At 42.5% G+C, this 14,595-nt stretch overlaps 2 long non-coding RNA genes, 1 pseudogene, 1 gene segment (V, D, J or C) and 1 further gene; 3 read left to right on the forward strand and 2 right to left on the reverse strand.

Moving 5' to 3' along the window:
• The window catches only part of IGL (immunoglobulin lambda locus), an 896,838-nt gene that overhangs the window by 835,214 nt on the left and 47,029 nt on the right, over positions 1-14,595 (forward strand).
• Positions 1-14,595, reverse strand: part of LOC105372948 (uncharacterized) — a 63,619-nt gene that overhangs the window by 40,309 nt on the left and 8,715 nt on the right. The window lies entirely within an intron of this gene.
• LOC124905086 (uncharacterized) lies at positions 1,054-1,833 on the reverse strand. The gene is made up of 2 exons (XR_007068015.1): positions 1,744-1,833; positions 1,054-1,650 (listed from the first exon to the last, which is right to left on the reverse strand). It is a non-coding gene; the product is annotated as an uncharacterized LOC124905086 (long non-coding RNA).
• Positions 10,250-10,746, forward strand: IGLV4-3 (immunoglobulin lambda variable 4-3). The segment is given in 2 exon segments: positions 10,250-10,295; positions 10,422-10,746. Coding segments are annotated over 2 exon segments (371 nt in total).
• IGLV3-2 (immunoglobulin lambda variable 3-2 (pseudogene)) lies at positions 11,719-12,204 on the forward strand (annotated as a pseudogene). The gene is given in 2 exon segments: positions 11,719-11,763; positions 11,910-12,204. Coding segments are annotated over 2 exon segments (340 nt in total).

Raw genomic sequence — 14,595 nt, forward strand, 5'->3', positions numbered from 1 at the left:
AATGCTTCCGGACTTATGTGTAGACAAAGATTTTATACCTAAGCTTTCAAAAGCACAGGCGACAAAAACAAACATAGACCAATGGAGCTACATTAAACTAAAAGTTTCTGCTCAGCAAAGAAAACAATAAGCAAAGTAAAGAGACAACTTGTAGAACAGGAGAAAATATTTACAAACTGTTCATCTGGCAATGGATTCACATACAGAATAAGACAATAAGACAAGAAAGCAAAACAATTCAACAGCAAAAAAAAAAAATGCCAAATAATACCATTAAAAAGAGGTCAAAGAATTTGAATAGACATCCCTCAAAAGAAACATACAAATGGCCAAAGGGTGTATTTTTTAAAATGCTCAACATCACTAATCATCAGGGCAATGCGAATCAAAATCACAGTGAGACATCATCTCACCCCAGCTAGAGTGACTAATATCAAAAAGACAAAACATAACACATTCTGGCAAGAACGCAGTGTAAAGGAACTCTTATACACTGTTATATACTGTTGGTGAGAAGGTAAATTTTAAATTAATACGGCCATTATGAAAAACATGATAGTGTTTCAGAAACACTAAAAATAGACTATCATCATACAATGCAATAATCCCACTACTGGGTATTTAATCACAGGAAAAAACGTCAGTATATCTAAGGAATTCCTGCACTCCCACGTTTACTGCAGCACTATTCATAATAGCAAAGCTATAGAATCAACCTGTTTTCATCAACAGATGAATGCATAAGGAAAATGTGGCATGCATACACGATGAAATACTTTCCAGTCATAAACAAAAGAATGAAATCTTATCCTCTGCAGCAACATGATGGAACTGGAGGTCATTATGTTAAGTGAAATTAGCCAAGCACAGAAAAACAAATGTCACATGTTCTCTCTCATGTGGGAGCTAAAAAAAGCTGATCTCATGGAGGTATAGTGTAGATTAATAGTTACCAGAGAGGCTGGGAAGGGTTAGGGGTTGTGGGGATGAGGGGTAGTTGGTCAATGGGCACAAACATACGGTTACATAAAAGCAATAAGGTCTATTGTTGTATATCACACAGCAGAGTGAACATAGTTAACATAATTTATTGTACATTTCAAAATACATAGAAGATTTGAAATATTCCCAACATATAGAAATGACAAATGCTCAAGGTGATGGATATCCTAAACACTAATTCGATCCTTACATACTGTATTCATGCATCAAAATAGCACGTATACCCCATAAACATATACAATTATAATGTATCAGTAAAACATGTTCTTTAAATTAAAAAAAACTGTCAATTCTGAATTCTTTACTCAGTGAAAATATCTTTCAGAAGGGAAGGCAAAATAAAATGGTTTTAACCATAAATATACTTGCACTATTCATGACCTGCAGACACACACTATAGAAAATAATAAAGAACACTTCTCAGATAGAAAATCATACTAAAGATGTGACTCTGAATAAAGAAAACAAAAACATCAAATATAGTAACTACATAAAAACATATAGAAATGGTAAATAAACATAGATATAAACGACTTAAATTACATTACAAAACAACTAGACTTAATAGACAACTATAGAACAGTCCATCCAACACAGCAGAATACATAATAATCTCAAGTGCATATGGAACACTCTCCAGGGTAGAACCTGCAAAAAAAAAATGAGTACCTTAAAAAAATAGAAAATCTATAAAGTATATTCTTTGTGTTACTTCACTCTTGTATTGCTATAAAGAAGTACCTGAGCTTGGGTAATCCATAAAGAAAAGAGGTTTAATTGGCTCATGGTTATGCAGGCTCTACAGGAAATCTGGTGCCAGTATCTGCTGCTGGTGAGGGACTCAAGAAGCTTACAATTATGGTGGAATGTGAATGAGGAGCAGGCATGTCACATGGTGAGAGTAGGAGAGAGAGAGGTGGAAAGTGCCACACTCTTTTAAACAACCAGTCTCACATGAACTGGGAGCAACAACTCATTGTCATGAGGGCAGCACCAATTTATTCACGAAGGATCCACGTGGCCCCATGACCCAAACACCTCCCACTAGGCCCACCTCAACACTGGCAGCTACATTTCAACATAAGATTTGGATGGGACAAATATTAAAAGTATATAATTCCACCCCTGGCCCACCAAATCTCATGCCTTTCTCACATTGCAAAATGCAATAATCCCTTCTCAATAATCCCCCAAAGTTCTAAGTCGTTCCAGCATCAAGTTTAACATCCTAAGTCTCATCTGAGACTAACCTCCTGTCACCTATGAGCCTGTAGAATCTAAACAAGTTATTTACACCTAAGATGCAATGGTGGTACAGGCCTTGGGTAAACATTACCATTCCAAAAGGGAGAAAACAACCAAAAGAACAGGCCCCACACAAGTCCTAAACCCAATGGTGCAGTAATTAAATTTCAAACTTCCACAGATCTCTAGGGCATGAAAAGAATTCAGCCAAGCTTTTTACTAAGGCATCACAAGGGTGAACTTTGCTCCAGTTCCCAATAACTATCTCATTCCATCTGAGACCTCAGCAGCCTGGACTTCACTGTCCGTATCTCTATCAGCATCTTGGTCACAACCAGCTGACCAGTCCCCAGGAAGCTCCAAACTTTCCCTCATCTGTCTGTCTTCTTCTGAGCCCTCTAAGCTCTTCAAACCTGTACTTTTTACCCAGTTCCAAAGCTGCTTTCACATTTGCATTATCCTTACATCAACAATCTACTTTTGGTACCAATTTTCTGTGTTCTTTCATTCTTGCATTTTTATAGCACCTTTATAGCACCGCTATAAAGATGTACCTGAGGCTGGGTAATGTATAAGGAAAAGAGGTTTAATTGGATCACTGTTCTGCAGGCTGTATAGGAAGTATGGTGCCAGCATCTGCTTCTGGTCAGGCCCTTAGGAAGCTTACAAAAATGGTGGAAGGTAAAGTGAAACCAGGCATGTCACATGGCAAGAGAAACAAAAAGAAGAAAGAGAGAAAGGAAAGGAAAGGAAGAGAGGGAAGGAGGGAAGAAAGAAAGAAGGAAAGAAGCAAAAAAGGAAAGGAAAGAAACAAAACAAAAGGAAGAGGAAGGAAGGAAGAGAGAGAGAGAGGAAGAAAGAAAGAGAGAGAGAGAGAAGAGATGAGACGAGACGGGGGGGGAGAGAGGCAGGGAAGGAGAGAGGGAGGGAGGAGGAAGGAGGGAGAGAGAGAGAGTGAAAGAAGAAAGAGAGAAAGAAAGAAAGAGAGAAAGAAAAAAAGAAAGAAAGAGAAAGAGAGAGAAGAGTGGGGAAGTGCCACACTCTTTTAAACAACCAGATCTTGTTTAAACTAGTGGTTAGAATTCATTCGTTATTATGAGGACAGCAGCAAGCCAATCATGAAGGGTCAGCCCTCATGACCCAAACACCTCCTACTAGGCCCACCTCCTACAGTGGAGTTCATCTTCCAGCATGAGATATGGAAGGAATAAACAATGATATCATCCTCTGAACACTGATATTGAAAAATAAAAGGTATTATATGAGAACACTGTGAAAAGCTGCATACCAAAAATTAGATGAAAAGAAAAAATCCCTAAAAACATAAAAACTACTAAACTGGCTCAAGGAGGTATAGAAAGTCTGATTAACACTATAACAAGAGTTTAAATTAGTCATTGAAACCTCCCACAAAGAACGGCCCAGGCATGAAGGGTTTCATTGATGAATATTATGAACTGTTTAAGGAATTAATAATAATTATTCATAAACCCTTCCAAAAATATAAGAAAGGGGAACATGAGCAGCTCATTCTATGAGGCCAGAAGTATGCTGATACAAAAACAAAAGACATGAAAAGTGAACTGGAGCACAACAGCCTCTATGAAAACAGATGCAAAACAACCACACTTCAACAAAATACTAGCAAAATATAAAAAGGATTAAACACCATAACTAACTAGTATTCATCCCCAATATTCAAGGGATTCTTAACCTATGGAAATTAATTATTTTAATGCTCCCTATTAAAGAATAAAACCACATGGTTATTTCAACAGTCACATCAAATGTTTTCATGTACGCAGACAGGACTTCCTGTTGTTTTCCCATTCCTGTTAAAGCATCATAAAAGGCACGATTTGTGGTGCTACTGGATGGGGTGCTACTTCATGCAAACTGGATATGTCATGTCCAACCATGAATATACTTAGCCATAAATGCTAAAAGATTGTAATTTGGTGTCAGAGACTTGGTGGTCAGTGACCACTTCCTTGGCAAGTGGTAAGTACAGACATCTGAAAGGATAACTAGGATTTAGGTAGGTATTGGATAAGGAGGTGAGTTACACACAGAAAAAGTTTCACTTAAAAACTCATAGACGCTTGAACACAGAAGATGGCTCAATAGGTCTGAGAAATAAACAAAGTCCAGAATAACTGGAGCTGAATGGAAACAAGGCAAATGACATGAACCATCTGTTTCTCTCTCGACAACTCACTGGGGCATTGTCTCCTCCCTATACCACCCACGTGGATTGTAAAAACATCTGTTCTTAAAACTTTCTTGTGCATCATGACAGCATGTAGCACCTGAATCCAGCTCAGTTAAATGAGGGCAGGACAGTCAACCACAAAACCCAGGTGGCCCAGGAAGCACATCAGGGAGACAAGACCTTGCTGTCAAAAGCAGAGGAAGTGAGATTTTCCATTGTGGCTAAGCCCAGAGCATATGAAATTTCAATGGGTACACAAAAACCATATAGGGTTTGGTTAAGCTGCAGATGCAGTCTTTGCAGGTTTGAATGGGGCCCCAGATTCTCCATGGCAAATAGCCTCCAGTTGAGGTTGATTGATGCTGGTCCTCCAAGGAACACACTTTGGGTGGCTTAGCTCCTATGCACCCTCCTCACTCATGCACAGCTGAAACTCACCTACATAACGCACCTTCTGAGAAGCATAAGTGACCTATTTCTCCTCCACTAATGTGTCTCAGTCCCTTTTACTAAAAAGGAATATCTGAAGTTGGGTAATTTGTAAAGAAGCAAAGGTTTATTTGGGTCATGCTTCTGATGTCTGTAAAGTTCAACAGTGGGCATCTGCATCCAGTGAAGACCTCAAACTGCTTCCACTCCTGACAGAAGGTGAAGATGAGCCGGTGTGTGCAGAAATCAATTGGAAACAGAAAGCAAGTTCTTTCCTAAAAATACTGCAGGAGTTTAATGATCATATTTACAAAGTGTTTAACACAGAGCCTGACACACCCTAGCTGCTCATGAGTTGGCAGCAATTATTGCTGATGTCATTCATGAAAATTGGACCTCAGATGGAGAAACTGCAGTGCAGAGAGTTTGAGAAGTTTAGGGACAAGAAAGACTTAGTGACTTAAAATCGAGTTCTAGGAACTGAGGAGAGCATCCCTGGGCATTTTACTGCCATCTTTTCCAATGTCTCAGAAACTGTTTCAATGTGACGTCAACCAGAGAGGAAAGCAGAGGGGTTTGCAGAACCAGGGGCTACAACTTCATCCACGGGAGAGTGATGTAGTAAGCGGGTGGGAAGGGGCAGCTGAGCTCATCTGAAGGGTGTTTAAGGTTTTCTGGCCCAGGGATCTTTGGCCATCTCTCCCTGCCCAGGGCCTCATTCTTCCACTGACCGGCAGGAGCTGGAGAGTGGCTTCTGAGTCTGGTTAGAGATCCCAGCAGCACCCAGAGGGGGAAGACATTGGAGAGACGGGTCTAAGGTCACTGGAGACACTGTTTGCTGCCTAGAGGGCTGCGACAGGCTCCTTGAAAACAAAATTCAGACACTTTAGGGGAAGAAAACACAGGATGGGAAGGCTCCTCACCAGGGGATTGTGGATAACAGAGACCAAAGCATCTACAAGGAGCCCAGCCCTACTGGAGGTGCCCTGAACACAGAGATCCTAGGGGTGTCTGTATTATTTTGCCAGGGCTGCCATAGCAAAGTAGCACAGCCCTATGGCTCAAAGAACACAAATGTATTTTCTCACTATTCTGCAGATGATGTTAGAATCTAAGATGAAGGTATCTACAGGGTTGGCTCCTTCTGAGCACTGGAGAATCTGTTCCATGCCTCTCCCAGCTTCTGCTGGCTGCGGAGGTGTTTGCTGTTCCCTGCCATGGAGGGAAATCACCCCAATCTCTGCCTCACATTCAAATGGAGTATTCCTCATGTGCGTGTCTGTGTCACAGTTTCCCCTTTTTATAAGGACATGAGTCGTGTTGGATTGGGTACGTACTCTGCTGCAGTATGACCTTTTCTTAACTAATTTCAACTGTAATCACCCTATTTAAATATAAAATCCCACTCTGAGGTCCTTGCAGTGAGGACTTCATTATACAAATTTGAGGGGACTGAAATTCAAATTCCTAACAGTGTGTCTGCCATGACTCAGGCCTCTCCTTGGGGCTCTGCAGGTGGGATGTGCACCACCAACCTCTCAGGTGGGGCATTACCTGACAGCCCAGAAGGACCCCAGGCCCTCTGAAAAATGACGTCTCTTTCATCCACCTTGAGGGACATGTTTTCTGGCTGTCCTTCTCATCCTTTGCATGCTGACATGGGAGACATCATCCTCTGCTTTTTAAAGAAGGACTCCTTCACCTTCCCAATCACCCCAAGTAGATGCCCATGCTGGTTCCACAGAATCAAACCACGGTGGGTTACGAGTTATATTAGCCACCAGCTGACAATATTCCCTGAATGTCCAGGATCCACCCATGCTCTCTGACCATCACCAGAGTGAGCAAATCTCTGATATGTGGGTAAGAGTTTCTCCCATGGGCTCCCAGCCGGGCTGTAAGTGAGGCAAGACCCCTTCTTCAGTGCACGGGGCTCAGTGCAGCTGCCTCCCTGACCAAGTCTTCCTGGGACACTAAGCTTATCAGTTTCTCTCCCCCAGGGACAGTTTTTGGTTGTCCTAAGCCTAGCTCAGCTCTGCTATGAACTTTGCATCCTAAGAGCCCATTAAACACCCCCTTGTGCCTCAATGGAATAACCTGGAGTAAATAGTGTGAGGTGCCCCTGCTTTCTGCTCCCAGGGCCTCTTCTCCTCGGTGGCACCAGCACTGCCCTATTGACCAGCAATCCTCACCTGCCCATTCAGGCCTCTACACTGCCTACCGTGAACAGTCACAGATCACAAACTGATTGCCAAATTTGTGCAGATCATCTTGACAGTTTCTGTGGAACTGGGTGCCTTCTCATAGAACCAGGAAGTCACAAGCCAGGCCAGCTCTAGAGAAGCAACTGGGGGAGTAACATGCATCACAGCGCCTGGACACAACAAAGGGATTTTGCTGTAGTCCTACTAGGACACATCCTAGTGATGTCTCTGAGAACCAGTCTTGGTCCCTGCAACAGAAAGCCTACTAAACAGGACAGTAGGCTGCAAGGTTGGGCACAATTTGTGCCGTGTGTGAGCCATGTAGATTGTGCATGTGTGTATGTGTGTACATATGTGTACATGTGCATTTAGTGTTGCAAGGAAGGGTTGTGTCAAATGTCCCAACTCAAAACTTTTCTGTTTTCCTAAGTTATCTGCTTCTATCTTTACTACCTTTGTACTATCATAAGAATAAGGATAATGATTAGGGTTGAAATAGGAGAAGGAATAATGTTTAATTATTCATTCTTATGTGTTTAATACATATCAAGCACTCTTCAAAACAATTCATATTTATTAAATCACTCAATACGAACTACTCCATGAGCCAAATATTGTCATTATCTCTCCATTTCCAGTTGGAGAATCTGTGATACAGATTTTGACACATGGGAAAGCTAAGGCAAAGAAAGGAAAAGGACTTTGCCCGATGTCAGAACTAGAAAGTGCCTGACCCAGGAGCAGAACCTGAGTCTTCCAGTCCCAGAGACCCTGTTCTTTAACAACAGCCTGTGGGCCTGTCACTGTGCTTTAAGGTAAAGCACTGACATCTCCCTAAGACTCCAGAAAGTTCTCTGTACTTTTTGAATCAAGTAACTCATACTTGCAGTGATTTCCAATGCAGTAGGAATTCTCTGGTGCTGAGGAGTCTACTAGGAATATAATTTCAATGCCTTTAAAATTTTTCAGTAGCCACATTTTAAAAGTAATAAAGAACGGGTGGAAGCAACTTTCGTACTATATTTTCTTTAACTGAGCTTACCCAAATATTATTTCAATATGTAATCAACATAAAAATATTGAGATATTTTATGTTATTTTCCTACAACCTTTTTGAAATCCGGTGTGTTTTACCCCCACATCACATCTTAACTTGAACTACCCACATTTTAAGGACTCAGAAGCTCCCTGGGACTCATGGTTGCTATACTGGACAGAGCAGATCCACATGAATGATGATCCATTTGGATCACAGCCCCTGCAGTACTTACTTAGAACCATCTTGGGGCAATGGAGAGTCCTATGACCCAGAGGGCCTCCTTAGGGAAGAATGGCTGTTCCATTTTCCAACCAAAGTAGAAATATGGCGGGCTCTCAGAAACCAGGGAATTTTTACAATGTGTTTCACACTTCTTCCCTTCTCAAAGACATTGACTATAACTTCCAGTTCGAAGATAAATCTGAGCCATCAAAGGCATTTTTTTCTATTGGTCAGTGGAATGAATGGCAATGGTCCCTGTGGATTGTGCTCCAAGGATCCCTTTCTGTGGGAAGATTCTTACAATAAAACCAACTAAAAGTAGGAAGTTATTGTTTATATGTAGATCTAGATGAAAGGGGGCTGATCATGAGGAATATAGTATTGAAGGTGAGTGTGTTGCTATTCTTCACAAAGGGCTATTTTTGCCTAACTCACAAGCATCAATCATTTTTATGAAGGTGTATTTTCCCAGAGTGGTCTTAGCAAGTTACATCCAACGCTGTATCAGGACCCACAAGCAAGGGTGTCAGAACTGACCTGCCTGAGCGGTCAGCAGGAACCAATGTGGAGACTCTGAGGTCTCCACACCACCAACCATGTCCAACCTCCAGTCAAGTGACAGGAGGAGTGGAAGCATTGGTTGGGAAGGGCTTGGAGGAGCTGCAGTGACATGCTCAGCCAAGTACAGGAGCAGGCATATTGGTGTCATGTGACCTCATCTTATCTCAGTTATCTCTTTTCACCAAACTCCAAGGTGCAATGTGTGGAGGCATCTGTCTGTACCCATGGACACCTTGGGCTTCACACATTATTTCTATTTCTAATGAACCAGTGTTTTGTTAATGAATTCATTTCATCACATCCTTAGTACTTCTAGGTTGGAAAAGCAATACATGTCTCTAAGATATTAGGTAGGAAATATTCTCCCGCCACTCGTATTTATTAAAGTTAAAATGCTTCAGTATCTAATGTGACAGTTGTCCAAATTCAATACCCTTCACCTTGTTAGAAATGGAATCCTGATCCTAACTTGTCTGGAGAGGAGGCTGGCATGAGGAGCATGACCACACATCTGGATGTCCCCAGTGTCACTGCTAACACACGCTCTTTTGTTACTTGCCGTGAAGGGAGCAGAGGGAGCATCCACACCTTTGTCCAAAGGACTTGGAGGACAGTGCACCTGATTAAAAAATGCAGGGCTGTGATAAGTGGGTTCCGGGTCCTGGATGAGGGAAGAGAAGATGAGGAGGCATGGGGTAGGAGGCAGGGCAGGGAGGAGCTGTAAGGTCAGGCTCTGAGTATGGGTGAAATCCTGACTCCACTCACTACTCTCTGGGAGGATTTGATAAATCTTGTAACCTCCTGATGTTGGTTCTCCCATCAATAAACTAAAGGAGAGGTCGTGTCTTAAGCGTATGCTTGCTGTGGGGCTACTGTGAATGTGTGGTTGAGGTGGTGCCTGCAAAACACTCTCCAAAGGGCCTGGCACGTATTAATGTCTCAAAGGAGTCATTCTGCTTAAGCTCGTGGAGGATGACTTTCCTCCTGTGTGCACTAGAGGGCCTTGTTTTGAGGACCCCAGTGACTTCCCTGGTAGGGCTCAAGCACAAAGGGCATGACTGATGCTTCCTCTGAGGCCCCTTCTATTGGGTAAAATTCATGCTCCACTCATGACACCCACCTGGCCCTTCTTCTGACCTTGAGAAATTGCCAATATGAAGCCCTCAGACTCAGAGCTCAGACAGTACCTCAGACAGACATGCTGTAAAGTGGAGAGCAGATTTGCATTCAAAGCTCCTCCCTTCTTGAGCTTCAAGAAGAGGATAAGACAGGAGCTCATAGTGTCCAGGTTCCACTGGGCAGTCTCGAATAGAGCTCTTGGAAGTCCCTCCAACCATGGCCTGGGTCTCCTTCTACCTACTGCCCTTCATTTTCTCCACAGGTCAGAACATCCCAGGGAATTCAGGGAAATGTTTTCACTGCTATTTTCCCATGAGCACCAGTCCTCAGGGGCATTCTTTCCAGTTCTTCTGTGCATTCAGCATCATTCATGACATTCTGTTTACAGGTCTCTGTGCTCTGCCTGTGCTGACTCAGCCCCCGTCTGCATCTGCCTTGCTGGGAGCCTCGATCAAGCTCACCTGCACCCTAAGCAGTGAGCACAGCACCTACACCATCGAATGGTATCAACAGAGACCAGGGAGGTCCCCCCAGTATATAATGAAGGTTAAGAGTGATGGCAGCCACAGCAAGGGGGACGGGATCCCCGATCGCTTCATGGGCTCCAGTTCTGGGGCTGACCGCTACCTCACCTTCTCCAACCTCCAGTCTGACGATGAGGCTGAGTATCACTGTGGAGAGAGCCACACGATTGATGGCCAAGTCGGTTGAGCCACAGTGACACAGATGAAGGGGAAGTGAGGCCAAAACCTCCCACCTCCCCTTTCTCCTCAGGGACTCAGAGTCAACAGCCCTGGGTTCCTCTCCAGTACCCTGAGACCTCTGACTCTCCTCCCTCCAAGACACCCCTAGGCAGAAGCAGATGCAGGCCATGACTGAGGCCATTTTGAAAACTCATCTTTCTGTTTCCTCCACAACAGCCTGTGGGGACCATGCTGGGAGAGACCAGAGCAGCCCAGGCAGGAAAAGGACCTTGAGAGAGTGGCTAGGATGAGATGACCGTGTCCCAGTGTCTCATTGTGCCCTGTGCTCTATTACCAGGCTCTGCCCCAGGAAAGGACATGGATCTTGACCTGTCAGCCATCATTTATGAGAGTTCAATTTTTACATTTTTTAAAATATAAAAACTACAATCTCCAAGATGCTAGGAGCAATTTCACTGAGTCTCATCATGGAATTCTGACCTCCCCCAGCATGTCCCCTGTTCCTACAATCTCCTGTTCAAGACCAACTCAACTCCATTACCCAGACCAGCTGCTGGATGATCAAGACAGGGCTGTGAGAGCCTAAGAATCTTTAAGGTCCACGATGAGAACACGTCAAGAAGGATTTATGTTGGAACTTCCTTCCCCATGGATATTCACATCAACAGAGAAGATATCTGAGTTCTTGCCTACACCTATGAATACCTAAGACATGAAGTGTGTGTGTGCATATGGTGTGGGCAGCACTTCCTCACTCAACACCAGAGAGTGTCTGAGGACACTGGGTACAGACATGGAGACAGGGCATATTTTTATACACTCAATTAAGCCCTCGTCCTTCTCTGCTCACCAAGGAGCCACCCAACAAGGCCACAGCAGGAAGAGAAGTTGATTTCCATGAAGAGCCTTCCCTTTCTAAGAGTCCTGGAAACCCACTGTCTAGTTGTGGAATCAGAGGCAGAGCTCTGGGGCATCTCCACCATGGCCTGGACCCTCCCCTGCTCACCCTCCCGACTCTCTGCATAGGTGCTTCCTCCCAGGGAATAAGCCCCATGGAACCAGGGGTCAGCCTGGCCCTGACCTTGAGCTCAGTGCAGGGAGTGATGCAGGGTGTGGGGCTATGGGAATGAGACCCTAATTCTCAGTCTCACGTCTCCTGTCTCCTCTTGCAGGCTGTGTGGCCTCCTCTGAGCTGACTCAGCTGCCTGCAGTGTCTGTGGCTTTGGGACGTACGGCCAGGATCATCTGCCAGGGAGATAGCATAGGTGACTCTGATACAAACTCGTACCAGCAGAAGCCAGGTCAGGTCCCTGTGCTGGTAATTTATGGTGACAGCAACCAGCCCTCAGTGATTCCTGAGCAATTTTCTGACTGCATATCAGAGGACATGGCCACCTTGATTATTAATGGGGCACAGGATGGAAACAAGGCTATTACTGTCGCTCGGAACAGCACTGCTTCTCATCTCACAGTGACACAGCATACAGTGAAGTGAGATGCAAACCCCTTCCCATCTATGTCATTCTCTCCCTTCAACCCCAAGAGGACTGTGGTCACAGCCATCAGCAGGTCTGGCCCAGTTCATTCAGATTTGAGACCCCCAGGCTGCCCTTCCCTCCAGTCCTCCAGGCAGGTTCATTAGATGGTAAATCAGGGGTGGATACACAACTATTAAATATCATCATGTTCCAATTTTTCATGAAGTAGAGGAATGATTGAACATGTTAAGTAGAAGCACAGAATAACCAAAAAAGGACTAATTGAGCTTGTGTACAGCTAATAATTGCAATGTCTGTCACTTTAAAAACATACTGGATGTGATTAACAACAGATTAGATTATGTAAAACAAAAGATTAGCAAACTTGATCATGTAGCACTAGAAAATATTCAAAATGCAGCACATAAAGAAAAAACAATGACAAAAATGAAAAAGCATTATCGGATATTCATAAAGAAAATGAAGGTGAGTTATAGGACAACTTCAAACAGCCTGAGGTTGACTAGGAGTAATGGTTCACGCCTATAATCCCAGCACTTTGGGAGGTCTAGGAGGGAGGATCTTTTAAGACTAGGAATTCAAGACCAGACTAGGCAACATAGCTCTATAATTTAAAAAAAAAAAAAAAACTTAAAAATTAACTGGGCTTCGTGGCTTGCACCTGTAGTCGTACCTACTTATAAACCTGAGGCAGTAAGATTGGTAGAGCCCAGAAATTCAAGACTGCAGTGAGTGAGCTATGATCATGCCACTGGACTGCAGCCTGGGCAACAGAGCAAGTTCCTGTCTCTAATATAGGGTCTCAATCTGTCATTCAGGCTGGAGTGCAGTGGTGCAATCATGGATCACTGCAGCACTGACTTCCCAGGCCCAAGTGATCCTCCCAGCTCAGCCTCCCAAGTAGCTGCGAATACTGGCGTGCACCACCATGCCCAGCTAATTTTTGTTTTTTCTGGAGAGACTGGGTCTCCTTATGTTACCTAGGCTTGTCTCGAACTCCTGGACTCAAGCAATCCTCCAGCCTCAGCCTCCCAAAGTGTTGAGATTACAGGGGTGAGCCGCTGCACCTGGCCTAAAAAAAAATTTTTTTTAATACAACAACCTAAGTATGTATAATTGACATCCATGGAATGTAAAAGGTATGGGTGGGTAGAAAAGAATATTTGAATAAATAATAGTCAAATGTGCTCCACATTTGGTAAAAACCAAAAACTGGTATATCCAAGAAGTTCAACAAAACTGAAGCACAGGAATCATGAAGCAAATGACTCCAAATGACATAATAGTCAAATTAGTAAAATCTGGTGATGAAGAGCCACTTAAAAGTATGATTCTAAGAGTACATTTCTCATTAGAAGCAATGTAAGCAAGAAGACAGTGGAGCAATAATTTTAAAATACTGAAAGAAAACAGCTGTCAACCTTAAATTCTTTATCCAACAATAATAACTTTCAAAAGTGGAGGATAAATATAATGTTTTCAGACATATAAAAACTTACAGAATTGATTACTATCACTCTTGTCATTAGAAATGACAAAAGACACCCCTAGACAGGGGGAAAATCATACCAAATTGAAATATGAATTCACACAAATATCAGATAATGCAACTCCATTTGAATATATAATCACATTTGAAGACAGATTTTAATAAGTGATATATGTATCACAAAGCCTAAAGTAAACATTAAACTTTTTTATAAAAGAATTATGACTAGTAAGCTGTATTAGGATTCTCCACAGAAACAACATAAATCAGATATGCATGTATGTTATACGTGTGTGTATATATATACATATGTGTATAGTATATATATGTGTGTATATATATACATGTGTATAGTATACATATGTGTGTATATATACATGTGTATAGTATACATATGTGTGTATATATACATATGTGTATAGTATATATATGTGTGTATATATACATATGTGTATAGTATATATATGTGTGTATATATACATATGTGTATAGTATATATATGTGTGTATATATACATATGTGTATAGTATATATATGTGTGTATATGGTGAGAGAAAAAGAACAAGAGAGAAACTAATTTTGAGGAATTGGATCATATATTTGTGGTAGCTGACAAGGATGAAATATGTTGGTCAGGCTGAAGGCTGGAAATTCAAGTAAGAGTTGATGTTGCAGTCCTGCATCCAAATTTAGCAAGGCAGCACTTCAGGAAACCTCCACATTTGTTCTAAAAACATTCAGCTCACTAAAGAGTCCCACCCACATTGTGAAGAGAAATCTGCTTATACAAAGTTTACTAATTAAAATGTTCATCACATCTGAAAGTTATCTTCATGTCAACTCCTATACTGGTATTTGATAAAATCAATC

This window comes from Homo sapiens, chromosome 22 (genome assembly GCF_000001405.40).
Source record: "Homo sapiens chromosome 22, GRCh38.p14 Primary Assembly".
NCBI lineage: Eukaryota > Metazoa > Chordata > Mammalia > Primates > Hominidae > Homo > Homo sapiens.